The sequence below is a fragment of the Homo sapiens genome, chromosome 12 (assembly GCF_000001405.40).
Source record: "Homo sapiens chromosome 12, GRCh38.p14 Primary Assembly".
Classification (NCBI taxonomy): domain Eukaryota; kingdom Metazoa; phylum Chordata; class Mammalia; order Primates; family Hominidae; genus Homo; species Homo sapiens.
The window spans coordinates 65695642-65721792 of NC_000012.12; the positions used below are offsets into that span (position 1 = coordinate 65695642).

The 26151-nt window shown below is 39.8% G+C and overlaps 1 annotated feature.

The window, feature by feature from the left end:
* Positions 24528 to 24822: a silencer, noted in NCBI's record as "tiled region #9176; K562 Repressive non-DNase unmatched - State 22:ReprW". NCBI's record gives its function as "represses a minimal TATA promoter and a strong SV40 promoter by Sharpr-MPRA in K562 cells {active_cell/tissue: K562}" and the evidence as "EXISTENCE:reporter gene assay evidence [ECO:0000049][PMID:27701403]".

Genomic DNA, 26151 nt, shown 5'->3' on the forward strand with positions numbered 1-26151 from the left:
CTGAACACTATTGCTTGTTAATGTTCAGACACTAATAGCACTGGAAAGAGTCGTTCCTTGTGTCAACTCATCAAGTAGTCTAAACAAGCCTGTTGGAGGCTGGCCAGTTCTGGCCAGTCATTGACCACAGACATGATCTAGAAGGCTATTACAACTTGTGGAAGTGAGAGGTAGCTCTGCTTCCTGTCTAGCCCACTTCCCAGGGATTCTCCCCAGAACCACTGGACTTTGAGGCCAGTGGGGGTTGATACTCAGCTATAGACTTCAGATATACCTTATTTTTTAGCACGAAAATTGAGATGTGTGTAAAAGCTTCAGAAAGGCCAGAAAGAAGAGGATTATCTGAAGTGATGCTTGGCAGCTGGAAGTTTATAATTTAGTTCTGTGGTTAGAGAGTACTGATAGTTTTTGTCTTACTTGTGTTTTTGATGAATGGGTGGATTTGTGAGAGTTCTCTTTTTTGGATGATTGTGGTGCTTGTTCAGGGATATATCTCTGGTCTTCTTTGGATTTGCCATGTTTATCCCAGCCATATACTTCCTCTACAAAAAGAGCTTTATGATTATTTCACATCAATAAGATGTGTGAAGATAGGTGAAGAAAAATCTTCAAATATGCCCTTCTTGCAGTAGCAAAGAACAAATGAAAAGAAAGTAAAAGATTATATTGGGAAATGTTTGCCATGTTGTGTTTGCTTTCTAACCCTGGAGTATTCCTCAGGGCAGGGGAAAATGTGGTTATACATGTTACATTGCATCTGAGATCTAATTCTTGCCTCATTATTTATTTATAAACCTTTTATTAATCATTGACTCTGTGCCAGGAACCATGCTAGATGCCAGAGATTCAAAGATGAAACAACCTGGTCCTTCCCTCTCTGGAGTACACACACTTGAAATGAAACAATTGCTGTCTATGATGGAGGGATGTAGACAGTATGAAACAGAACACCTAGGAGAGCCTGGGATGACTTGATTAAGAAGTTTCTATTTGAACTGAAACTTGAAGGACTATGGGGATTTGTTGGACAAAAAAAATCAAGAGAATGGAAAAAGGGTGAGTGAGGCCGCAGCCAGAGCTACAGAGGCACTAGAGCAGGGGTGGGCATGGAGACCAAGGGAAATCCAGGTCCTCTCCTCTCCTGGGCAGAGGCTTGGAGGGAGACAAGACTAGATAGACAAGCAGGATCCAAGTCATTCAGTGCTTTGTAAATCACATTTAGATTTTACTCTTCATCTAATGGTAGATGACTGAAAAGTTCCAAACAGCAGTGACATGATCAGATTTGCAGGTGAATAAAAAATCACAATGAATGTATATACAATGGGATCCACTTGTCATCTGGCATCTGGTCATTATAGCTGATCAGGACATAGAGAAAAAACTATCTTTCTCTCCATCTGTCTTTCTTTCTCTATCGTGATCCATAATGGATTTAAGAAGGTTTTCAAATCTTACTTCCAGGTTTATGCAAGCCATGGAGAAGTTTATTGAGGCTTCCCAACATTTTATCTTTGTGTTGGTGTCACTAATTCTTTTTTCTCTTGATGCTTTCTCCCCAGAATCCTATGATGCCTTGCTATTTTTGAGCACTCAGTGATTTAAGGTTTTTTTTTTTTTTTTTGAGACAGAGTCTCACTCTGACGCCCAGGCTGGAGTGCAGTGGCACGATCTCGGCTCACTGCAAGCTCCACCTCCCGGGTTCACGCCATCCTCCTGCCTCAGCCTCCTGAGTAGCTGGGACTACAGGCGCCCGCAACCACACCCGGCTAATTTTTTTGTATTTTTAGTAGAGACAGGGTTTCACCATGTTAGCCAGGATGGTCTAGATCTCCTGACCTTGTGATCCGCCCGCCTCGGCCTCCCAACGTGCTGGGATTACAGGCGTGATCCACTGCGCCCGGCTGACTTAAGGCTTTTAAAACTGTACTCAAACATAAAGCTGTGATAATTAAAATAATATGACATTAATACAAGATTAGAAAGAGATCAATGGAAGATGTAGTTGATTCATAATCAGTGTAAAAACTTAATAAGTTTTACACTTAATATGTGTAAAAACATAATAAGAAATAAATACCACAAATTAATATTTTATGAAAAATCATAATACAAATTATTAAGGAATAATAAAGGTCAATTTCATTAGTAATCTAAAAGGACTAATTAAAGCAAAATTAAAATAAAAGGTACTGACTATCAAGCAAGCAAAATTAAACATAATGCCTATGAGGCATAGATGAGAAAGATATTCTCTTATTCAATGAAAGGATGCAACCTTTCTCGAAAGGCTTTAATGTATTAAAATTTGAAAAAAAATGTTTATATCCAGGCCGGGCGTGGTGGCTCACACTTGTAATCCCAGCACTTTGAAAGGCCAAGGCAGGGGAATCACTTGAGGTCAGGAGTTCGAGACCAGCCTGGCCAACATGGTGAAACCCCGTCTCTACTAAATAAAAAAATTAGCCAGGTGTGGTGGCACATGCCTGTAATCCCAGCTATGTGGGAGGCTGAGGCAGGGAGAATTGTTTGAACCCAGAAGGCAGAGCTTTCAGTGAGCCTAAATCATGCCACTACACTCCAGCCTGGGCAACAGAGCAGACTCTGTCTAAACAAAACAAAACAAAACAAAACAAAACAAAAGAGAGTGTTTACACCCTTGACCTTGTGATTTCATGGAAAAGTTTCAAGAACAAATTCTAAGAAAAAAAAGTGAAGAATTTGACAAAAATTTGTGCACAAAGATGTTCATTGCAGCATTATTTATAACATCACACATTTTAAGGACAGGTAGTTTATAAAATTAATGATACCAATAGTCACTGTCTTCCAAAGAGATGAATATTTACTGAGCTTCTACTATGAACCAATAATTAATTATCTCATGCAATCTTCCCACACAACAAACAGATTAGGTAACTAAGACTGAGGGTTTAGGTAAGTTGCCCAAGACCACACAATTTTGGTGCTGACCCAGGTCTGACATCAAAGCCTTGTTCTGTTCACTACACCTCACTACCTCTATTTATAACTGTGTGTCAATTGTTTGCTTATGTGTCAATTGTTTGCTTAAAAAAAATCTATAAGTGGCCGGGCGTGGTGGCTAACGCCTATAATCCCACTATTTTGGGAGGCTGAGGTGGGCGGATCATGAGGTCAGGAGTTCGAGACCAGCCTGGCCAACATGGTGAAACCACATCTCTACTAAAAATACAAAAATTAGCGAGGCTTGGTGGCACATACCTGTAGTCCCAGCTATTCGGGAAGCTGAGACAGGAGAATTGCTTGAACCCGGGAGGCGGAGGTTGCAGTGAGCAGAGATTGTGCCAATGCACTTCAGCCTGGGCAACAGAGCCAGATTCCATCTAAAAAAAAAAAAAATGTATAAGCTCCATTTCTGTTCTGTTTTTCCATCCTCCCAGGAAACAAGAGTTCTGCTTTCAGATTTCTGTGATGTGAGTTGGGGAGCTAATGCCTACAGTTTAAACAGTCAATAAATTCATTCAATTTAGATCATTCATTTCCCAAGAAAAAATAGTTTGCCATAGAATGCAATGTTCCTCCTGGGAATCTCCTCTCTCTTACTCTTGGAACAAATCCAGGGGAGACAAGCACTTAAAACACTGACAACAACATAGATAGGATCTGTAGTAAATATTAGCTAGTCCATTTATGTATAGTGTTTACAGTTATTTAAAGGGCTACCTCTTCTAATGAATAGCCAGTTTCTCTGATTTAAGGAAGTACAGTATTGTCAGTGCATTGAACATAGAGAGAGAACACTGTCTAGTGGCAGAAGCAGAGGACTACAGTTATTTCCCAACATTCAGTAGCTTGACTCAGTCTTTAAAGAGGCACTGGTTGGCTTAGGTTTTCGTAAGAATGGAAAGCGTAAGTGGAAAAAACAACCATCAGCATCAGTTTCAAATGTTCATTAGCCCACACTTGCAAATTGCCAAGAAACACATTGCAGGAACACCAAATGGTAGCAGTCAACTAAAAGGTCATAAAATAAATATCATTCGTTTGCCTTCTACTTATATTTTCTTACTTTGAAGATGTTTCTCACATTGGTTTTAATTATTATACCATGTAATGTACTATTCTGCTATTTTTAGATACAACCATTGGCTAGTTTCAGCTGTGAACTTCTAAATAGCGGCAAGCAGAAAAGTCATAGAAAAATCTCTCCTTTCTTGCTCTCTCAATCTTTATTTACTCCCTCTCCTTTTTTCTTCCCCTCTGCAAAGAGTGCAACTGTGATTGTATTTTATCAAGCCCAAGATAATGCTGCTTATAAGACTCATCCATAGATATAATAAAAAGAGAAAAGTATGCCAATTAAATGACACAAGGCTTTTTTTAACTTAGAATTTTTATTTTGTACTTAGTGAAAGAATTCCTTTAAGCTTACTGAGACATAGATATTTCTTTATCATGTATCACTCTTGTACATAGGTAAAAAGGGAAATACAAACAAAATAAATAGACTAAGCTATTCCTAAAGCTATTTTATTCATAATTTAACTCTTCCTAGTCATTTTTTATTCAGATTTTTAAACTGACACATAATAATTGTGCATAAATGTGAAGTATAAGTGATATTTTAATACATCAGTATGATGGATAAAGATCAGTTTGGGGGAATCAGCATATCCATCACCCCAAACATTTGTCATTACTTTATATCAGGAACAATTAAACATCCTCTCTTTTAGCTATTCTGAGATATACCTTATTATTAACTATAGTCACCCTGCTGTGCCACAGTACAGTAGAACTTATTCTTCCTACCTAACTACCTAAGGTATAACTTCCTACCTAACTATAATGTTAGTACCTGTTAACTAACCTCTTTCTCAATCCTCCCATCTACCCTTCCCAGCCTTTGGTAACCACTATTTTACTCTCTACTCTCTACTTTTTTTTTTTCTTTTTTTGAGACGGAGTCTCACTTTGTCACCCAGGCTGAAGTGCAGTGGCGCTATCTCAGTTCACTGCAACCTCTGCCTCCTGGGTTCCAGCGATTCTCCTGCCTCAGCCTCCCAAGTAGCTGGGATTACAGGTGTGCACCACCATGCCTGGCTAATTTTTGTATTTTTTTAGTAGAGACAGGGTTTCTCCATATTGGCCAGGTTGGTCTCGAACTCCTGACCTCCTGATCTGCCCACCTCAGCCTCCCAAAGTGCTGGGATTACAGGCATGGGCCACTGTGCCAGGCCTTGTACTTTCTAATTTTATGAGATCAACTTTTTAATCTCCCACATATTAGTGACAACATGTGGTATTTGTCTTTCTGATCTTGGCTTCTTTCACTTGATATAATGTCTTCCAGTCTCATCCATATCACCACAAATGACAGGATTTCATACTTTTATGGTTGAATAATATTCCATTGTGTATATATACCATATTTTCTTTATCCATTCATCCATTGATGGACATGTAGGTTGATTCCATATCTTGGCTATTGTGAATAGTGATGCAATTAACATGGGAGTGGAGATATCTCTTCAACATACTAATTTCCTTTCCTTTGGATAAACACTCAGTAGTGGGATTGCTGGATCATATGGTAGTTCTATTTTTAGTTTATTGAGGAAACTTCATACTGTTTTCCATAATGGCTGTACCAATTTACATTCCCACCAACAGTGTATAAGAATTCCTCTTTCTTCCAATTCTTACCAACATTGGTCATTTATTGTCTTTTGGATATGTCTTTTGGATATTGTCTTTTATCTATGGTCTTTTTTTGAGAAATATCTATTTAGATCATTTGCCCATTTTAAAATAGATTTTTTATTAGGAAGTTTCCTCAAAAAACTAAAAATACAACTACCACATTATTTTCAAATGGGTTAATGATCTGAATAGATATTTCTCAAATATATATATATATATATATATTTCTTTGCTATTGAGTTGTTTAAGGTCTTTCTATATTCTGGATATGAATCCTTTGTTGGATGGATAGTTTGCAAATAGTTTATCCAATTCTGTAGGTTATCTCTTCACTCTATTGATTGTTTCCTTTGCTGTGTAGAAGATTTTTAGTTTGATATAATCCCATTTATCCCATTTGTCTATTTTTGGGTGTTTTTTGCCTGTACTTTTGAGGTCTAATCCAGAAAAATCTTTGCCTAGACCAATGTCCTGACTAATTTAACTCTAAATTTTCTTCTAGTAGTTTTATAGTTTCAAGCCTTACATTGAAGTCTTTAATACATTTTGAGTTGATTTTTATATATGGTAAAAGAAAATGGTCTAGTTTCCTTCTTGTGCATAAGAAGATTCAGTTTTCCCAGCATCATTTATTGAAGAGATATTTTTTACCACATTGTGTGTTCTTGGCACCTTTGTCAAAAATCACTTGGCTGTAAATACATGGATTTATTTCTGGGTTCTCTATTTTGTTCCTTTTCTCTATGTGTCTGTTTTGGTTACTGCAGCTTTGTGGTATATTTTGAAGTCAGACCGTTTGATGCCTCCACTTTTTTTCTGTTTGTTCAGGACTGCTTTGGCTATTCAGGGTCTTTTTGGTTCTGCATAAATTTTAAGCTTGCTTTTTCTATTTCAGTGAAGAATGTCATTGGTATTTTGACATGAATAGCATTAAATCTGTAGATCACTTTCAGTAGTGTCAACATTTTAAGGATATTAATTCTTTAAATCCATGAACATGGATATCTTTCCATTGTGTGTGTGTGTGTGTGTGTGTGTGTGTGTGTGTGTATGTGCATTCTCTTCAATTTATTTCACTAATGTACTATAGTTTTCATTGTAGAGATCTTTCATCTCCTTGGTTAAAATTATTCCTAGGTACTGTTTTTTGTAGCTACTGTAAATGGGATTGTTTTCTTGATTTCTTTTTCAGATTATTTGCTATTGGTGTATAGAAACACTACTGCATTTGGGCCAGGCACAGTGGCTCATGCCTGTAATCCCAGCACTTTGGGAGGCCAAGGTGGGCGGATCACCTGAGGTCGGGAGTTTGAGACCTGCCTGACCAACATGGCGAAACCCTGTCTCTACTAAAAATACAAAATTAGCCGGGTGTGGTGGCACATGCCTGTAGTCCCAGCTACTCGGGAGGCTGAGGCAGGAGAATAGCTTGAACCTGGGAGGCAGAGGTTGTGGTGAGCCGAGATCGCGCCGTTGCACTCCAGCCTGGGCAACAAGAGCAAAACTCAGTCACACACACACCCACACACACTACACACAGACACACACAGAAAAAAAAAAAAACTACCGCATTTGTATGTTGATTTTGTAGATTTTGTATCCTGCAACTTTTCTGAATCTATCAGTTCTAACAGTTTTTCAGTGGAGTCTTTAAGTTTTTCTAAATATAAGATCTTGCTGTTTGCAAACAGGGACAATCTGCCTTCCTCCTTTCCAATTTGGATGCCTTTAATTTCTTTCTCTTGCTTAATTGCTCTGGCTAGGACTTTCAGTATTATGTTGAATAACAGTGGTGAAAGTGGGCATCCTAATCTTGTTCCATGTCTTAGAAGAAATTCTTTCAACTTTCCCCCATTCGGTATGATGTTAATGTGCATTGTCACATGTGGCGTCGTTGTTACATTTCTTCTATACCTAATTTGTTGAAAGTTTTTTTATGAAAGAATGTTGAATTTTATCAAATGCTTTTTTCTTGGTTTGTTCTTGCTTTTCTAGTTCCCTGAGGTGCATTGTTAGGTTTTTTGAAATCTTTTTTATTTATTTATTTATTTATTTATTTATTTATTTATTTTTTTGGTGTAGGCAGTTTTTGGTATAAACTTCCATCTTAATACTGCTTTTGCTGTATCCCATAGATTTTGGTATATTGTGTTTCCATTTTCATTTGTTTCAAAAATTTTAACCCTTTTCCCGTTTAGAAAAAAAAAAAAGTGCAGCTCACGGCTAGCATTCATTTAATTTTACATAAACATGCTCTTTGAGGCCAAAGCAAATTTGACTGATTTTTCAATGTAAAAATAAAATGTAAAAACTGTTCTTAGAGTTATTTCTAAACAGAACTAACATCAGAATCGTCAGGATCATCAGAATCATCTATTTTCAAAAACTTGGATTCATCAAATGAATCTTTGGCCAACAACTGTTCAAGAACTATGTTAGCATCACATAGGAATGCTACGTTTCCTAGGATTTGACATTTTCAGTGATTGAGAACCACTATATTTTGTAAATGTAAAACCACTACTAAAAACAGAATGCTATAAATAGAATAATGACTTTGTTTCCAAAGTTGATATATGTGAAAATAATAATAAAAGTGAGATATTTTGTGGCAGCGTTATCTTGGGGTAAACAATGCAACTGCAAGTGCGATGGGCAAGAATTCTCCCCACAAATGGGAAAAGGGTTAATTTTCTTCTAAATGTCTTCATTGACCCATTGATCATTTAGGAGCATGTTGTTACATTTCCATGTATTTATACAGTTTCCAAAGTTCCTCTTGTTATTGATCTCTAGTTTTATTCCATTGTAGTGAAAAAAAAGATATTTTATATTATTTTGATTTTTTTTAAACGTATTGAAAGCCAGATGTGCTGGCATGTACCTGTCCTCCCAGCTACGGCAGACTACCGGAGACTGTGGCAGGAGGATAGATTGAGCCCTGGAGTTTTGAGGTCAGCCTAAGCAACATAGCAAGACCTCACCTCTAAGAAAAGAATAAAACAGTTATTGAGACTTATTTTTAGCCTAACAGATGGTTTATTTTAGAAAATGGTCCATTTGCTGATGAGAAGAAGGTGTATTCTGCAACTGTTGGATGAAATGTTCTATAAATGTTAGGTCTATTTAGTCTAGAATTTAGTTTAACTCTGAGGTTTCTGTGTTGATTTTCTGATTGGATAATCTGTCCATTGCTGAATGTAGAGTTTTGAAGTCCCCTACTATTAATATATGGCAGTATATCTTTTTCTTTTGATGTACTAATAGTTGCTTTATAAATTTAGATACTCTAGTTTTGGGTGCATATATATTTATAATCATTATATCCTCTTGCTGAATAGTCTTCTTTACCGTTATAGAATTATCTTGTCTCTTTTTACAGTTTTTGACTTAAAGTCTGTTTTATCTGATGTAAGTATAGTTACTCCTGCTCTCTTTTGATTTCCATTTTCATGAAATATTTTTTTCCATCCTTTCATTTTCAGTCTATGTGTGTCCTTACGGTAAGGTAAGTCTTTTGTAGGTAGCATAGAGTTGGGTCTTGTTTTTTTTATTTATTCAGCCACTCTATATCTTTTCATTAGAAAATTTAATCAATTTATATTCAAGGTAATTACTGATAGGTATGTGCTCAATCCTATCATTTCGTTAGTTGTCTCTATTTGTTTTGTTGATTCTTTGTTCCTTTCTCCCTCTCTTGCTTGCTTTATTTATGGTTTGATATCTTTGTTAGTGGTATGCCTTGGTTCTTTTCTTTATATCTTTCATGTATCAATTTTAGGCTTGTTTTTGCTTTGTAGTTACCCTGAGGCTCACGTAAAATATCTTATAACAGGTTAATTTAAGCAGATAATAGCTAAATTTTGATTGCATACACACTCTACTTTTACTTCCCTTCCTCCCATGTTTTATGTTTTTAATGTCATAGTTTCTATATTTTTAAAATATGTATCCCTTAGAAAATTGCTGTAGCTTTAGTTATTTTTTAATAGTTTTGCCTTTTGACCTTTATACTGAGATATTATTGATTTAGCCACCATTGTTGCAGTATCAGAGTGTTTTGAATTTGAGTGAGTTGTATAATTTCACATATTTTTATGTGACTCATTAGCATCCTCTTCCTTCTGCTTAGAGAACTTCCTTTAGAATGTTTTATAATACAGGTCCTGTGGTGATAAATTCTCTCAGCTATTGTTTGTCTAAGAAAGTCTTTTTCACCCCTGTATTTTTGAAAGACAGCATTGCTGGGTATAGTATTCTTGGTTGAAGGCTTTTTCTTTCAGGATTTTGAATATATGCTCCTACTCCCTTCTACATTGCAAGGCTTCTGCTGAGAAGGATGCGGATAGTCTTATGAGAATTCCCCTATATGTGACAATTTACTTTTCTCTTTCTGCTTTCAATATTCCCTCTTTGTCTTTAACTTTTGACAATTTGACTATGATGTATAGTGGTGTGAGTCTCTTTGGGATCTTACTTGGTGTGCTTTCAGCTTCCTAAATGTGGTTTCCTAATTACTTTTCCAGACTTGAGAAGTTTTCCGCCATTATTTCTTTGATTATATTTTCTGTCCTTTCCTCTCTTTTTCTTCCTTCTGGCATGTCAATACCGTGTAAGTTGTTCCGTATGATAGTTTCTCGTAAGTCTCTTAAGCTATATTCATGTTTTTTCCATTGTTTTTCTCCTCAGAATGGGGGATTTCTAGAGATATGTCTTAAAATAAAGGACCCTTTCTTCTGCTTGATCTAGACTATTGTTGGACTCCTCTGCCAACTTTTTCAGTTTAGTTATAGCATTCTTCATATCTACTGTTTTCTTTTGGTACTGTTTTTGTTGAAGGTCTCAGCTTATTCTTGCATTGCTGTCTTGACCTCCTTTAGCATCTTTATGACTATTATCTTTAATTTCCTGTTAGTTAAATCACAGAATTTCATTTAATTTGAGTCAGTTTCTGGAGGTTTATTTTATTCTTTTGTTTGGAATATATTCCCCCATTTCTTCATTTTTCTTGACTCTCTGTGTTAGTTTCTGTACATTAAATAAGATAACTACCTCTCTTCACCTTGTTAGACTAGCCTTGTGTAGAAGGTTTTCACCAATATATGCAGCCAAAGATTTTTTTTTTTTTTGAGATGGAGTCTCGCCCTGTCACCAGGCTGGAGTGCAGTGGCACAATCTAGGCTCACTGCAACCTCAGCCTCCTGGGTTCTTCTGCCTCAGCCTCCCGAGTAGCTGGGACTACAGGTGCGTGCCACCACACCCAGCTAATTAGCTAATTTTTGTATTTTTTTTAGTAAAGACAGGGTTTCACCATGTTGGCCAGGGTGGTCTCGATCTCTTGACCTCGTGATCCACCCACCTCGGCCTCCCAAAGTGCTGGGATTACAGGCATGAGCCACTGTACCCGGCCGCAGTCAAAGTTTTTTAAGGTGCCTCTCAAATCTGTGTTTGTCCAGGGTGCTATCTCTGTTTTTGGTGGCTTCTAGAGCTTAGGATATGCCAAGTCATCAGTACCCTGAGACTAGTATGATAGAAGCCAGGCTTTTTAGTTGTAGCTGAAAAGGTTGGTGTGTTGGATGTGTCTTTCAGTTCTTTCTATCTTCATGATGGGGCTGGGTGAAGGTGTTTATCTCTCTGCATTAAGCTGGGAAGAGGATCTGTGGAAAATGCTGTACTCACAATTCAGGCTGCACCTTCTGATCCTGGAGGGATAGCTGCTAGGAGTGTGCCTGTTATACATCTACCTGTTTGATTTCTATAATCTTGAGTCACTCAAAATTACAAAGCACTCTCAATTTCCATGGCTAGGTTGTTAAGCAGACAGTCTCTTAGATGGGAGCTGTGGGAGTTGTGAGATTTGGTGCATGGTTGAACTCTTTCTAGGAAGAATATACAGGCACAGATTTATCTCTGGGGTGAGCCAGGGGAGGTCTTGTGAAATATCAAGCTCTGGCTCTGGCTACTAAAGGGTTGTTGTTTGTTTGATCCATTAGCTCCCTGATGCATGTTCACTGGAGACCAGTTGACCAAGTAGCCACTGGGAATGTGTGTTACACATTCCTTCCAGAGAGAAAGTTAGAGCTGCACATTCTGAACCTTTTTCTGCACTGTTCCAAAGGAGTATAACCTCTAGAAGTGGTTGGACACCTGTTTAAAACCATTGGTTTGTTCTGTGATCAAGGGAGACTTGGATATGACTAGTCCCTTCTGTTCCCATATTTACTAGGTTTAAGAAGGAGTCTTTCAGGAGGTAGCTTAACAATTGGGGCTTTTGCCAGGTGCGGTGGTTCATGCCTATAATCCCAGCTCTCAGGGAGGCAGAGGTGGGAGGATAGCTTGAGCCCAGGAGTTCGAGACCTGCCTGGGCAATATAGTGAGACCCCATTCTCCACAAAAAGGAAGAAAAAATAAAGACAAAAAAAAAACTATTGGGGCTTTTGATGTGTGTCTTAAATCCCTTCTGGAGAGAAACAAGGGGTTGCGTTGTATTTATTTATTTATTTATTTTTTATTTTTTTGAGTCGGAGTCTTGCTCTGTCGCCCAGGCTGGAGGGCAGTGGCACAATCTAGGCTCACTGCAACTCTGCCTCCCCCATTCAAGTGATTCTCCTGCCTCAGCCTCCCAAGTAGCTGGGATTACAGGAATGAGCCAGCACGCCCGGCTAATTTTTGTATTTTTAGTAGAGATGGGGTTTCACCATGTTGGTTAGGCTGGTCTCAAACTCCTGACCTCAGGTGATCCGCCCACCTCAGCTCCCAAAATGCTGGGATTACAGGCGTGAGACACTGCATGGGACAGAGTTTTATTTATTTTTTAATTTATTATTTATTATTTATTATTTATTTTTTGAGACAGGGTCTTATTCTCACCCAGACTGGAGTGCAGTGGTGTGATCTCAGCTCACTGCAACCTCTGCCTCCCAGATTCAAGCAATTCTCCTGCCTTAGCCTCCAGAGCAGCTGGAACTATAGGCATGCGCCACCAAGCCCAGCTAATTTTTATATTTTTGGTAGAGACGAAGTTTTACTATGTTGGCCATGCTGGTCTCTAACTCCTGACCTCAAGTGATCCACCCGCCTCGGCCTCCCAAAGTGCTGGGATTACAGGCGTGAGCCACTGCACCTGACCCGGGTTGAGTTTTTAAAGCCCTTTCTCTGTACCACTCTAGGGGGATAAAGACGCTGGAAGTGATTGTACTCCCATTTTAAAATGTGACTTTTTCCCTGCAGTCTGGAGAGATGTGTATGCCAGTCTCTTCTTTCAGTTTGGAGATTTAGGATGCCATTTCTTAGGTGGATAGTATAAAAGTTAGGGATCTCAGTGTGAGTGCACATTTTTCCCAGGCTGACAGCAGGTTAATAACTAACTATCCATTTAACTCCCCAATACAAGTTAGAAGTCAGACCACCAAGCAGCCTCTGGAGGGGTGTTTCATAAACCCCTTCCAGAGGGAAATGGCTGTGTTTTTAAGTTCCTTAATGGCATTATTCCCAGGGGTGTGGAATCCTTTAAAGAGCTTGCATGCCCATATAAAACAACCTTTTATTTTCCCCCTGCAGTTTAGAAAAACACGTGTATGCCAGTCGTTCAGCTCCCTGAGCTAAGAGATTTAGAATGCAGTCCCTTAAGTGGATATTGTAAGAGTTAGGGTCCTTGGGGTGAGTGCAAAACTCCTCCCAGACTGGTGGTGGGTTAAAAATTGACTGTCTAAGGCTAGAAGGGGTGGCTCACGCCTGTAATCCCAGCACTTTGAGAGGCCAAAGCTGGAGGATTGCTTGAGCACAGGAGTTCAAGACCAGCCTGGGCAACATAGCAAGACCTCCTCGTCTCTACTGAAAATAAAAAAAATTTAGCAGTGTGGTAGTGTGTGCCTATGGTCCCAGCTACTTGAGAAGCCAAGGCAGGGGAATCGCATGAGCCCAGGAAGTTGAGGCTGCAGTGGGCCCAGATTGTACCACTGCACTCCAGCTTGGGCGACAGAGAAAGAACCTGTCTCAAAAAAAGAAAAAAAAAATTGACTGTCTGTTTAACTCCCTGATGCAAGTTAGTTAGAAGCCAGGTCACTATACAGCCACTAGAGAAATACTTTTTATAAAGAAATGTTTTTTATACCCCTTCTAGGCTGAAACAGAGGGCTATGGTTTGTTTTTTTGTTTTGAGACAGAGTCTCGCTCTATCGTCCAGGCTGGAGGGCAGTGGCTCAATCTCGGCTCACTGCAACCTCCGCCTCTGAGGTTAAAGGGATTCTTCTGCCTCAGCCTCCCGAGTAGCTGGGACTATAGGCATGCACCACCACGCCCGGCCAGCTTTTATATTTTTAGTAGAGATGGGGTTTCACCATGTTGGTCAGGCAGGTCTCAAACTCCTGACCTTGAGTGATCCACCTGCCTCAGCCTCCCAAAGTGCTGGGATTACAGGTGTGAGCCACTGTGCCCAGTGAGGGCTATGGTTTTTTAAGCTCCTACTCTGCACTGCTCCCAGAGGGATGTAGTCCTTGGAAGAGCAGACTCACTCTTATAAAACCACCACTTTTTTTCATGTAGTCTAGAGAGAACTAGCACGTGTCTAATCCCTTCCACTCCCATAGTTGGTGAATTGAGTCAAACTGTGGGGAAACAGCATTACAGTCCTGTATGTGAGGTCCAGATCCTCCTTTCCTCGGAGGGAAACTGGTTGTTTGAGATTTCTTTCCCAATTTATGGAGCAGAGCCCGGCTGGTGTGGGGTTCATGCCTAAGTGTGCCTCAGCTTTTCCTACCCCTTCAGTGTGGATGTTTCCTTAGTTGCATGGTGGGTAGGAGTCTCTCAGTTGGTCTCTGATTTTCTCTCAGAGGGAATTTATCTGTGAATGGATGTTTATTTGATGGATCTATGGGTGGTAGGAGAGTCAGGAGCTTCTATTGCACCATGTTGGTGGCGTCACTCCTGATTCAGGATTTTCAACCCACACAATATTGTTCTCTGTGCTATCAAAAATGTTGTATTTGCAGCACAATAGTGCTCCACTGTTTTCTGTGGGAATGTCTTTCAACTCCTAGCCATCTGTTTCTGCAAATGCTGTAATTCCTTGATCCCACCAGACCTCAAGGGAAGGTTTTCAGACAAAAGCCAGAATTTATATTTCTTCCTCAAATTATCTTTTAACTGTTTTCTGACTAAAATGTTGAAGGGTTGCAGTGATCCAGTCATGCTTACAGAGCATCAGCATAATTCCAGGTTGTGTGAACAGAAGCAATGACAATTGTGTCAGGACTTCCACCTGCCCAACAGTGATTGGAAGATGTCATTGACTATACAATTTCAGAGAAGTTAAAATGGGAAAGAGGAAGCACATTCTAGAATTGACGATATAGCCTTTATTCAATTTCCACTGCATGCAGGGATGATATAGTTTAGGTGTGTGTCTCTTCCCAAATCTCATTGAAACGTAATCCCCAATGTTGGAGGTAGGGCCTGGTAGGAGGTTACTGGATCATGGGGCAGAACCCTCATGAATGGTTCAGCACCATCCCTCTTGGTGCTATTCTCATGATAGTAAGTGAGTTCCTGTGAGATCTGGTCATTTAAAAGTGTGTGGCACTTCCCCCTCTCTCCCTTGCTCCTGCTCTGACCATGTGATGTTCTTGTTCCCCCTTCACCTTCCGCCATGATTGTAAGTTTCCTAAGGCCTCACCAGAAGCCAAGAAGATGCCAGCAAGATGCTTCCTGTACAGCCTATAAAACCATGAGCCAATTAAACCTCTTTTCTTCATGAATTATCCAGTCTCAGGTATTTCTTTATGGCAATATGAGAATGGCCCAATACAAGAAAATAGTGGGAATGAGGTAGAAGGCTAGGGATTAAGGCTGGGGTTATTCCAAGCCTGAGTGTTAGTGTCTTCTCAAGATTACCCACACAGTGCTCTGCAAAGACTCAGGCAGTGTTTGTAGGCAGATCTCAATGTTTTTAAGGGACGTGCTGGACCATTTAAAGGTCTTCAGCAGCTGTCTCATGCAACATGAGCCTATGTTTAAATTAGCACCCAGTTTTCATTTTATTTCAATCCATTTCTAATTTATAATGATTCATTCTTACAGAAATTAACCTACCTTAAGATAAATCAAGTTCCTTTGTTTGTCTCCCCACTCTAGAGTTCGAACACATTAGACAGTATTAGGAGTATTCCGCTAAAGTGAAAGGGAATCTAAGCCACCCACCTGAAAATAGATATATGAGAACCTGCCTCTACCTTTATATTGAAGCAAGATCAATTTGTTGATTTCATTGAAGTTCTTATACATTGGAGACATGGTTTAATTAATTATTTATACAGGAATGCAAAATGAAACCCAAAAGTCAGCAAACGGCAGTATGTTTTATGGATTGAAACAAGGAAAAAAAAACTTCCCAAATTGGACAACTTCATTTAGGGCAGAGGAAAGGGAAAGGCATAAGAAAAGAAGGGAGGAGAAAGAGTGTAAAGTGAGGAGTCATCTCCAAACAGGTAAAATATTTCCATGTTTTTCAAGCACACATTCTATTTAGAATTGGCAAGACTGTTTTATTCAAAAAAAGGCCTTAAGAGATCTGCAAGTAGGAAAGAATTTAATAAAAGTATCAAATATTTGTCTATATTTCTGCGATACTTAACACTTCCTTCACATGTAAGCATTTGATCTACAGCCTTATTATACAGTAATTCTTAAATCATACAAGCTAGTCTCTAGCCCTGCCCATGTTCAAATTCTCACAAATCTTGTCTTAATGAAACATAAAGTACTGGGTAGGTGGGAGAGAGGGGTGCATATTGCAAATAGGCTCTGGGTGTTGGCCAAGCCACTTAGCATGAGGGGGTAAAAAGCTAAGCATACATGTGACATGAGGGCAATGAAATAAGGATCTGTGGCTGATTTCAGGGACCAGCAGTTGTGCCACTGCTGAAACCCCAATTTCCTCCAACTCCCTTTCCATCCACAACGAAATCTCAAGTGACTCCTGAACTGTACTGAGGGCAGTTGTTACAGCTGCTATAATTCATTCTCTCCCTATCTCTGTCTCAGCAATGTGGGAGCTTTCCTGTCTTCAAACTTGCTATGCACACATGCACGTATGCACGCTTGTGTACATGCACATACAACACACACAGTGGCTGATGCTCACTGAGCTCTTCTGAGTTTCCTCTGCCCCACGGTGGCCTTCCCCTACTCTGCTTCCCTCCCGTTTCTGTGCCAGAGCTAAGGCTTCTCTTGCCTCTCCAGGGGAAATTATCTTTCCAACAGCCAGTCTCCTCCCCAAATTTAGTCCTTCCTTCTCTGGGGGACTCAATACATTGTTAATGGTTATAAAATCATATCATCTTCATTTTTTTAAAGAGACAGCATAGGCAGGGCAGACAGGGTGAGGGCCAAGGAATAGGCAGCCTTTACTCATTTACCATGCTTAAATTCCCTATGTGGTTATGTGACCCTGGGCCTTACAATCAGTAACACATGATCTTGGCCCCCTTGATTTCTCTATCCATGCAATGACAGTCTGTGCATCCTGCCAGCCAGAGGGTTATAAAGAGTAACTACCCAGCATGCTTAGCTTTGTTCCAAGCTACCAGCAATTATTTCAGGATAGGATGAGGTACTATGTCAGATACCCATAGGTTCAGAATCCTGAAGCCTACATTTCAATGAAGCAATGTAGCTGCTGATTTACATGTTTGTGTACATTGAAAGCATGTCTGTTAAAAAAAGCTCATTACCTTGAGCTGCCATTCATTAGCTTTAGTGTTTTCTGTTTCTGTGAGGTTCATGAGAGGCTGGGAGATGGCACACATTTCTGGTTTATGTGGATCCTCATTCTAAATTTAAACTGAAACACAGATGAAACTGGATTTCACTTGATTTCCACCTTAAGCCATAATTCATCTCAGGTTTATTTGAAATGTTCCCTTATCTAGTGTAGGACTTGAGGCAGGTCACGGAGAGGTTCATGAGCCTCAGCAAAAACTTCTCAGCAAACTTGACCTGAATTTGAGGTTTTGATTCAGAAGTCTGAAGTTTTCATTCAGGAGCTTTGGACAGTCCTCTGCTATCTCTGGTCACAATCTGAAATCCCATCAGACTCACTTCAGACCATATGGAATAAGGATAGAGACCTCTATGGCTCTTATTCGTTTGCCACACACTCATTCCAATGTTTCTATATCCTCAGCAGGCCTCACTAGGCTTCTACAGAGAACATTTTTTTTTCCTTTTTCTTAAAAAAAAAAAGACAGGTATTAGTCTCCGTGGGTGCTAGAAAATGAACCGGTCAAAAAGACTATCAATTTCTTGACACTCCATTACATGTGTGGAGGGATTTTTTCCAAAGTGCTTTTCCTACCCTCAACAGATGCTCGCTGCTTTTGAATCTAATAACCACTCCCAATTGTATAATGTATTAAGATTTTTGAACTGTTATTTATAATTATCTTGGTAACTTTTCAAGAAGGTTCAACGATATAATTTTAACTTTAAAGGTTGCAACAAAAATCTAAGTCCTTTAAAATACTTCTCTTAAACTGTGTACAAATTTGTAATAAATAAGACAATATAAAATTGTATATTTTTTAAGTCTGGGATTTATACCACTGAGTTTCCCGATGCCAGTTATTGTCCCTATGTGAGAATCTATTTCCATTACAAGTTCTCATTTATACTCAAATTACTTTTATTTTTACAGTGAACTATATTTTGTTACTGCTTTCAGTATAGGTAATAGTAGATCATAAGATGAAATGGAGCAAACCCACATAAAGAAGTTTTTATTAGTTTTGACAATTGGGAGAAATTCTTATTTCCTTTGGTGAATAATTCCAGTGAAGGCTTTTTCTCAGTTATAGGGCCTTGACAGACATCTGGCTGCAAAGTATTGGGTTTTTCCTGAGAATAGTGCTTTATAGTTGATTTCCAAGTTATTTCTCAAATCCTCAGGAAACAGATTAGCTTTGCAGCACAGCCTTATTTATTCAAACATATTAGAAATCAAAGTGAGTTTGAACTGGTTAAATGAATTGAAGACTATTTGTAAAGAAACACATCTGGATCCCTTTTCAGGCTATATGGTCATTGAAACGTGGCTAACAAAGTTACTAAGCCAAATCCTTTGAAGGAAACTCATGAATTGAAAAGGAATTTGAGAATAAATTATAATTAACAAGTCTGTTGTTTCCAATAAGTGGGTTATTGAAAACTGTTCCCTTAAGATTTCATGCCTGTAATCCCAGCACTTTGGGAGGCCAAGGTGGGCGGATCACGAGGTCAGAAGATCGAGACCATCCTGGCTAACACGGTGAAACCCCGTCTCTACTAAAAATACCAAAAAATGTTAGCCAGGCATGGTGACGGGTGCCTGTAGTCCCAGCTACTGGGGAGGCTGAGGCAGGAGAATGGTGTGAACCCAGGAGGCAGAGCTTGCAGTGAGCCGGGATCTCGCCACTGCACTCCAGTCTGGGCGAGAGAGCAAGACTCCATCTCAAAAAAAAAAAAAAAAAAAAAAAAAAATTTCAGACTTTCCCCAAGTCTAGTTTTTACTATTAATTTTCTGGGTGCACTTTGTATTCCTAGAGAATGTCTCAGTCCAGCTTTGGAATCAGTGAGGTTTGTGAGCAACTGGAGGCACTGTCCCACCCCTAGGCTGCTGCCTCCCTAGCTAGTTCAGGTATCACTGCTGGCTACATTTTCTATTTTCTCTTCCATTACCACCACATCCCAGGCAAATAAATAACCCCACACACACATCACCTTCATGTTCTCTGGTCCTCAATAGGCTAATTTTCTCCAACCCAAGATCACCATCAAGCTTAAAACCTCTTCGATCTGTCTTTATTCCTCTTCCCCAGGGTTCAGTCATGGACCACACACACACACAAAAATCCAGCCAATGATTTCACAACAATCTCACTAACTTATCTTTATGCCTTTCCATTTCCTTGGTCAGAATGTGGCCTCAGCAACTGATCTTTTGACACCTGCCCTAGCCACAGCCTCCCAGGCACCCTCTTCACCTCTAACCATCTTCCTATCAATCCATCCCTTAGAAGACTGAGAAATTATTTCTCTGCTCAAAAACCTCCCATGACTCCTATTGCCTGAGCGCAGACCTCCTGGCCCAGCCTTTGGGAGCCTTCACATTTGATTCCAGTTCTTTCCAAGGTGAGCTCCAGATTTTTCTCTGGGTATACCTTGCACTTGAGCAAAGCAGATGATTTGCTGTTCCCCAAATACACTGTAGGCCTTAAAACCTCTTAACATATTCTCATGCCACTCTGTGAGACTGAAATGCCTTTCTCCCATTTTCTTCTCAAATTCCTTTCATCCCTCAGAGTCCCAAAACAAATATCCCACTCCAAGGTGGGCGGCGGTGTATAATGACTTACAGGCATATTTTACAGGAAAGCACTAGCCATATTTATAAATAGGTGATTACTGAGTGCCTTTGTAAAGGTGTATATCATATGTGCATGTGCTCACAAGACACTTTACAGTTAACAAAGAACTTTCACCCATATTATCTCATTTAATTTTATGCCAAACCCATGATATGGACAATATCAACAGTTGACAAATGAAGAAGCTAAATCTGGGAAAGTTACAAGGATTGCCCCAGCTCACTCAGCTAAAAAGTAACAGAAGCAGAATTCACACACAGGTCTGGTAATAACAACTCCAGGGCTTTCAACCATGTCACAATTCTAATGGGACAGTGTCATGGATGAAATAACATGGATGAAATACCTTCCATAGCAGATGGGAAAAGACGCCAGGCCACAGAGGGTCATGGAAGTTTTCTGAGTAGAGCGGTGACATGATCAAAGCGCTGTGGCAGGAAGATTGATCTGGTGGTGCTGCAGGGCAGGGGCAGGGAAGCCCCGCTGGAAACCAGCTCCAGTGCCTCTAAACTCCTGTGACTCTTTGTTTACGCTCCCCAGGAAACATTTATCTGGTGCTGCAAATTGGTTATTTATTTGTTTATTTACTCCTTTCCTACTAACACTTTCTGCTTTAGAGCAGAAAGAATTTAAGGTGGCTTTAAACTGCCTTACATTTCACAACTATACTAATACAATTAAATCTTATCTGCTTTGTTTGATTTTAAGCCTTGAGCATAAAGTATATGTAACTTACATCTTCATAATCAGATGTTTGACATGGGGCCATGTTGATAGTGATGTCCAAAATCCAATGAATGAATGAATGGCCTCTGAGAGGTTTCTGCTAAAGATAGGATGGGATAAATTACAGTATTTGATACTTCAAAATAATGTGCAGCCTTTAGTTGAATGAAGCAGATCTATTATGAATTGAAAAGGTGAGGAGACGGCGATACACTTTGAGTCATAAGATACATACATGGATCTGAAAAAAAATCGTGTGCATATGTGTATGTGTGTGGTGCACAATTTCATAAATTCACCCATCACATAAAATTATTAACACTGGTTGCCTCTGGGAAAATTACTTGGATTATGGGAAGAGTCATGTAGACTTTTAGGTTACAGATTGTATCCAGAGGTTATATAATTCTGTATAGTTTTGTACACACTAGAAAACACATTTTACCATGAGTTTGTATGACTTTTGTGTGCACAGAGAATTTGGTAATGTAAACCATATATAACCAAGGGCTAAAACTACAGTTTCCTGTTGTCTTGTTGCCCCAGCCAAGGTTTAAAAGTAACTTGTAGTATAATATCTCTCATGTGCTACATATCTTTGAAACCACCTTTGCAAAATTATGACAGTAAGAGAAATCTGACATGGCGGACTCCATCTTGCTTCTAGCCTCAACTCCTGGCTGTCTTCCATCATTCCTGAGCATTGGCCAAGCTAACTTTGGGAGAAATTCAGTTTATAGTTAAATGATAATAGTCCTTCCCCCAAGCTACACTGCCCTTGTAAAACTAATGAAAGTCCACTAAGCTAAGAAGATAAGAGGGGCCTGAATTCTACTAATATGTAGGTGTAGTGAAATAATTACCAACAATTATTCCAGAGGCCACAAGATTTGCAAATTCCCCAATTACTCCTGTGGATAACATCACTATTTGTAGAACCTAAGGTTGGCCTTTTGAGATGTCTTTTCTTTTTTTTTTTTTTTGAGGCAGAGTCTCACTCTGTCACCCAGAATGGAGTGCAGTGGTGCGATCTCGGCTCACTGCAAGCTCTGCCTCCTGGGTTCACGCCATTCTCCTGCCTCAGCCTGCCGAGTAGCTGGGACTACAGGTGCCCACCAGCACGCCCAGCTAATTTTTTGTAGAGACGGGGTTCCACCATGTTAGCCAGGGTGGTTTCGATCTCCTGACCTTGTGATCCACCCGCCTCGGCCTCCTAAAGTGCTGGGATTACAGGCGTGAGCCACCACACCCGGCCTGAGACATCTTTTCAGGTTTTTGCATTTCTGATGGCAGATGACTCCACTCAAACTTGACAACCGGCCTTGTGACCCCCACCCAGGAACTGATTCAGTTCAAGAGGACAGCTTCCCTGTGATTTCGTCTCCAACCCAACCAATCATCATTTCCCCACTCCCAGGTCCCCTACCTTCCAAATTATCCTTGAAAAACTCTAGTTTCCAAATTTTCAAGGAGACTGATTTGAGTAATAATAAAACTCCAGTCTCTTTTTAGCTAGCTCTGAGTGAATTACTCTTTCTCTATTGCAATTCCCCTGTCTTAATAAATGGGCTCTGTCTGGGCAGCAAGCAAAATGAACCCACTGGGTGGTTACATCTTCATTAGCTTAGTCCTGGAGATTCTTTTCAGCTTGTAACCAAGATCTACCTTTCAGTTTAACTTCCTGCTCCATGTTGCCTGCCCTACAGATAGGCACAAAAGATACCCCATACATGGGCTCCTGGTTCCTTTTTGTCTTTCTTTTTTTCCAGGAATTTTAATTGTACACACTGGCTCCTCCTGATTTGATCTCCTTCTGCTTGGGACTAGCAACTTGGATCCAGCTCAGCTGCCAGAAATAGCCTCCTCTGGTAAAGTTCTGCAATGTTTATTGACATTTTGGGTACAGGTCCTTCAGACCTTAGTTACATGTGTTAAACCACCTTAGATCTGTCCTTTTTCTTTAAGTAGAAAAAAATACCATCACATCTAATTCATTCCACTCTCCACCTCTCTGCCATTGCCACCCCCAGAACAACAGCCACTATTTTTCAGAAAGAAATTATTTTTTGTGTATTTATTTTTTGAGGGGGTGGTGCTCACCCTGTTGCCCAGGCTGGTCTTGAACTCCTGACCTCCAGTGATCCTCCTGCCTCAGCCTCTCAAGTAGCTGGGATTACAGGCATGAGCCATCATGCCCGGTGGAGGGAAATTATTTTTCTTATAAATTTAACTGTGCTTTCTAACAATGAGAAAGTACAAGATCAAGTGGTAACAATTTTAACTATAAAAATCCGAATAGTAGTTAAAACTAGGATTTCCTTCATTAGTCATTGATCTTTCTTTTCCTTGCATTTGAGTGTTTTTGTTTTGAAAAGTATAGTTTTTCTCTGAAATCATTCCTACTTATTCACCCACCACAGAATACCTTCCTTAAATTTCATTAGATCTCACTTATGTTCAATTCTTGTAACATGCTAATGATGATCAAAATAGTCTGGCCTCATCTGAGAGCTGTGTGTAATTTTGTCCTGTTTGACCAGGTGAACTGCATCATAAACACTGAGGCTATTGAATACATCTTTAGAGATCTGAGGAGGCTGTAGCTCACAGACACTCTCTACCATTACTGTCACCATCTTTTCTACTTCCCTCAACTTCTTACTGAGCAGGATGGAGCCTCAGGGGCACTGTAGCCCTCGCAGTCAAGTCTGAAATTAAGATCCCTTTTCCAAAGAAACATCAAAAATACCCCTACGTGCTCTACCATCCCCACTCCTCACATACCTGCCACAGGTTGTATCATACCTGACATGCTCCTGATCACACCTGAGATGTGTAGAGCTAAACTGAGGGCACTAGGCAAAGCTTTGACAACAGATCCTCTAGAAAAATTCAGAACAGATTTGTGGAGTTCACGGTGAATTGTACTTGTGCTACTTTGATTTCACCAAGAATCCACTTTCCAGGCAGATTTATTCTCTCTTACCTCTCTGCCCTGAAAATTGAATCAAGTCGCGGGTTTAATATTTTGCAGTCGCAGATTCCTTGAGAACCTGATGAAAACCGTGGGAACTCCTCTTCCTGAAAAATGCACTTCTGTTCATACACATGAAAATGAACAACTTCAAGTCATTTGTCTCTCCCAAGGCTCCTCTCCTAAAGGTTCTTTCTTAGATCCTAGGTTAAGAACCTGTAAATAAAGGAAAGAAATTGATCTTCTAGAGCGAAGTGTAAAGTAAAAAGATTCTGAATGGAGCTCATAGATGATTCTCACAGGACAGAGGATGAGGCAGGAGATGGTGGCATTTAGGGAAACAGTAAAAGAGGTGGTAAAATAAAGAATTATAAGCATATGAGTGAGGCTGGGCTCTATCCTATATCAACCTTGGACAAGTTACTTAACCTCCCCTAAACCTCATTGTCCCTAACTATATAATGGGGATAATTACAGTTTCTTGGGGATGGTTAGTGAGTGAGGTAATTATGAAGCGCTTCTTACAATGCCTGCACAAATTCTACCTATTAACGTTTCAGGCACTGAAAGGATTCTTTATATTGTAGTGTGAATTAAAATACTAAGCCTGAGCAACAGAGTGAGACCCCATCTCTGCAAAGAAAAAAAAATTTTTTTTTGAGACTGGCTCCCATTCTGTCCCCCAGGCTGGAATGCAGTGGCACAATCTCGGCTCACAGCAACCTCTGCTTCCCAGGCTCAAGCGATGCTTCCACCTCAGCCTCCCGAATAGCTGGGACCACAGGCACGCACCACCAAGTCTGGTGAATTTTTTGTATTTTTGGCAGAGATGGGGTTTCACCACGTTGCTCAGGCTAGTATCGAAATCCTGAGCTCAAGCGATCCACCCACCTCTGCATTCCAAAGTGCTGGGATTACAGGCATGAGGCACCACATCCGGCCTCTACAAAAAAAAAAAAACTTCTAAAAATTAGCCAGGCATGGTGGCGCATGCCTGTAGTCATGCCTCAGCTACTTGGGAAGCTGAGGCAGGAGGATCCCTTGAGCCCAGGAGGTCGAAGCTACAATGAGCCGCATTTGCAGACTACACTCCAGCCTGGGCAACAGAGTGAGACCCTGTCTTAAAAAAAAAAAAAAAAAAAAGAAAAAAGAAAGAAAGAAAAAAGTAATGCTAGCTCACTGAAAGCAATTTGCACTTTGAACCCCCTTTCACTGCAGGAAGTCATCTCTGTCAGTCCTTGGTTAAAAGGTGGATGGGCACAAGGTAAAGGAGAAAGACACCTTTGTACTCTTGCATCTTTGAAACAGCTAAGTTAGACTTGCATGAAGATTAATATTGAAAGCCAAGGGAGAAGGACTGCAGCAGAGATTTCAGAGTAAGGAGGCACATCTGGTCCCGGGTCTCAAGCCATCTGTGTGCTCCCAGCTTTATTTGAACACAATGATTAAAATACGTATGTGGCCAGCCACAGGCATGGTGTTCGGTCATCCGGAAGAAAGGTCCTGTGGCTCAGCCCACAAACCTAAACTGAGCAAAGATGTCAACTTCATGAGTTAAAAAATATTGCTTCAAATGGCAAGCATGCTGACAGTATATCTAGAACAAAGGAGCACTGCTATGTTGTAAACATAGTTGCTGTCGTGCAGAGGCATTAGTAACCAAGTAGGACAAATGTTAAGCTGATCTGTGAGGTGGCCAGAATCTTGAGGCCTTTGGGTACTGATGGTAACAATGCTTCATGATTTGGCCATGTAATACATCGTCCTGACCACTGCTTTTGATAGAATTTCATTATTGTGATAAGTAATGTGGTTAAAAGAGCCAAGCATGGGTTTCTCATTCACCTTGCTCTGTTTTCATTCTACTGGCTTCCATGGTCCGAGAGAGCCTTCTTGTCTCCCCTGTTAACTCTCCATGGAAAGTATGTAGCACCTTTAAAATGATGACTTACTGATGTTTGAGGAGATTGAAGCTTTTCTTTATTAATTTCTATATCAGTATTCTCAAATGCTTGAAGGATATGTAAAGATTTTATTTCATATTCTATCAAAACAGATGTATAACACTTCTAGTTTAATCATTCAGGTGCGTATAATCTTAAAACATTGAAAGGAAGACAGCTGTATGTGTGCTTATTTTTTCTTAGTGTATATATATGTTACAAACATATCAAGCTGTTTGATGAATATTTATGTTTCTGGATTTCATTTTATTTCTAGGAATGAAATCTGAAACAGCTCTGAGATTATTTAAGTAGATTACTTAAAGCAAAACATTGATTGTGCAACTTGTTTTGTTTTTTAAATATTTAAAGGCCCATGAGTTGTTTGACCCTGCAAACAAGAGATGTTGGTTTCTAACTTGGT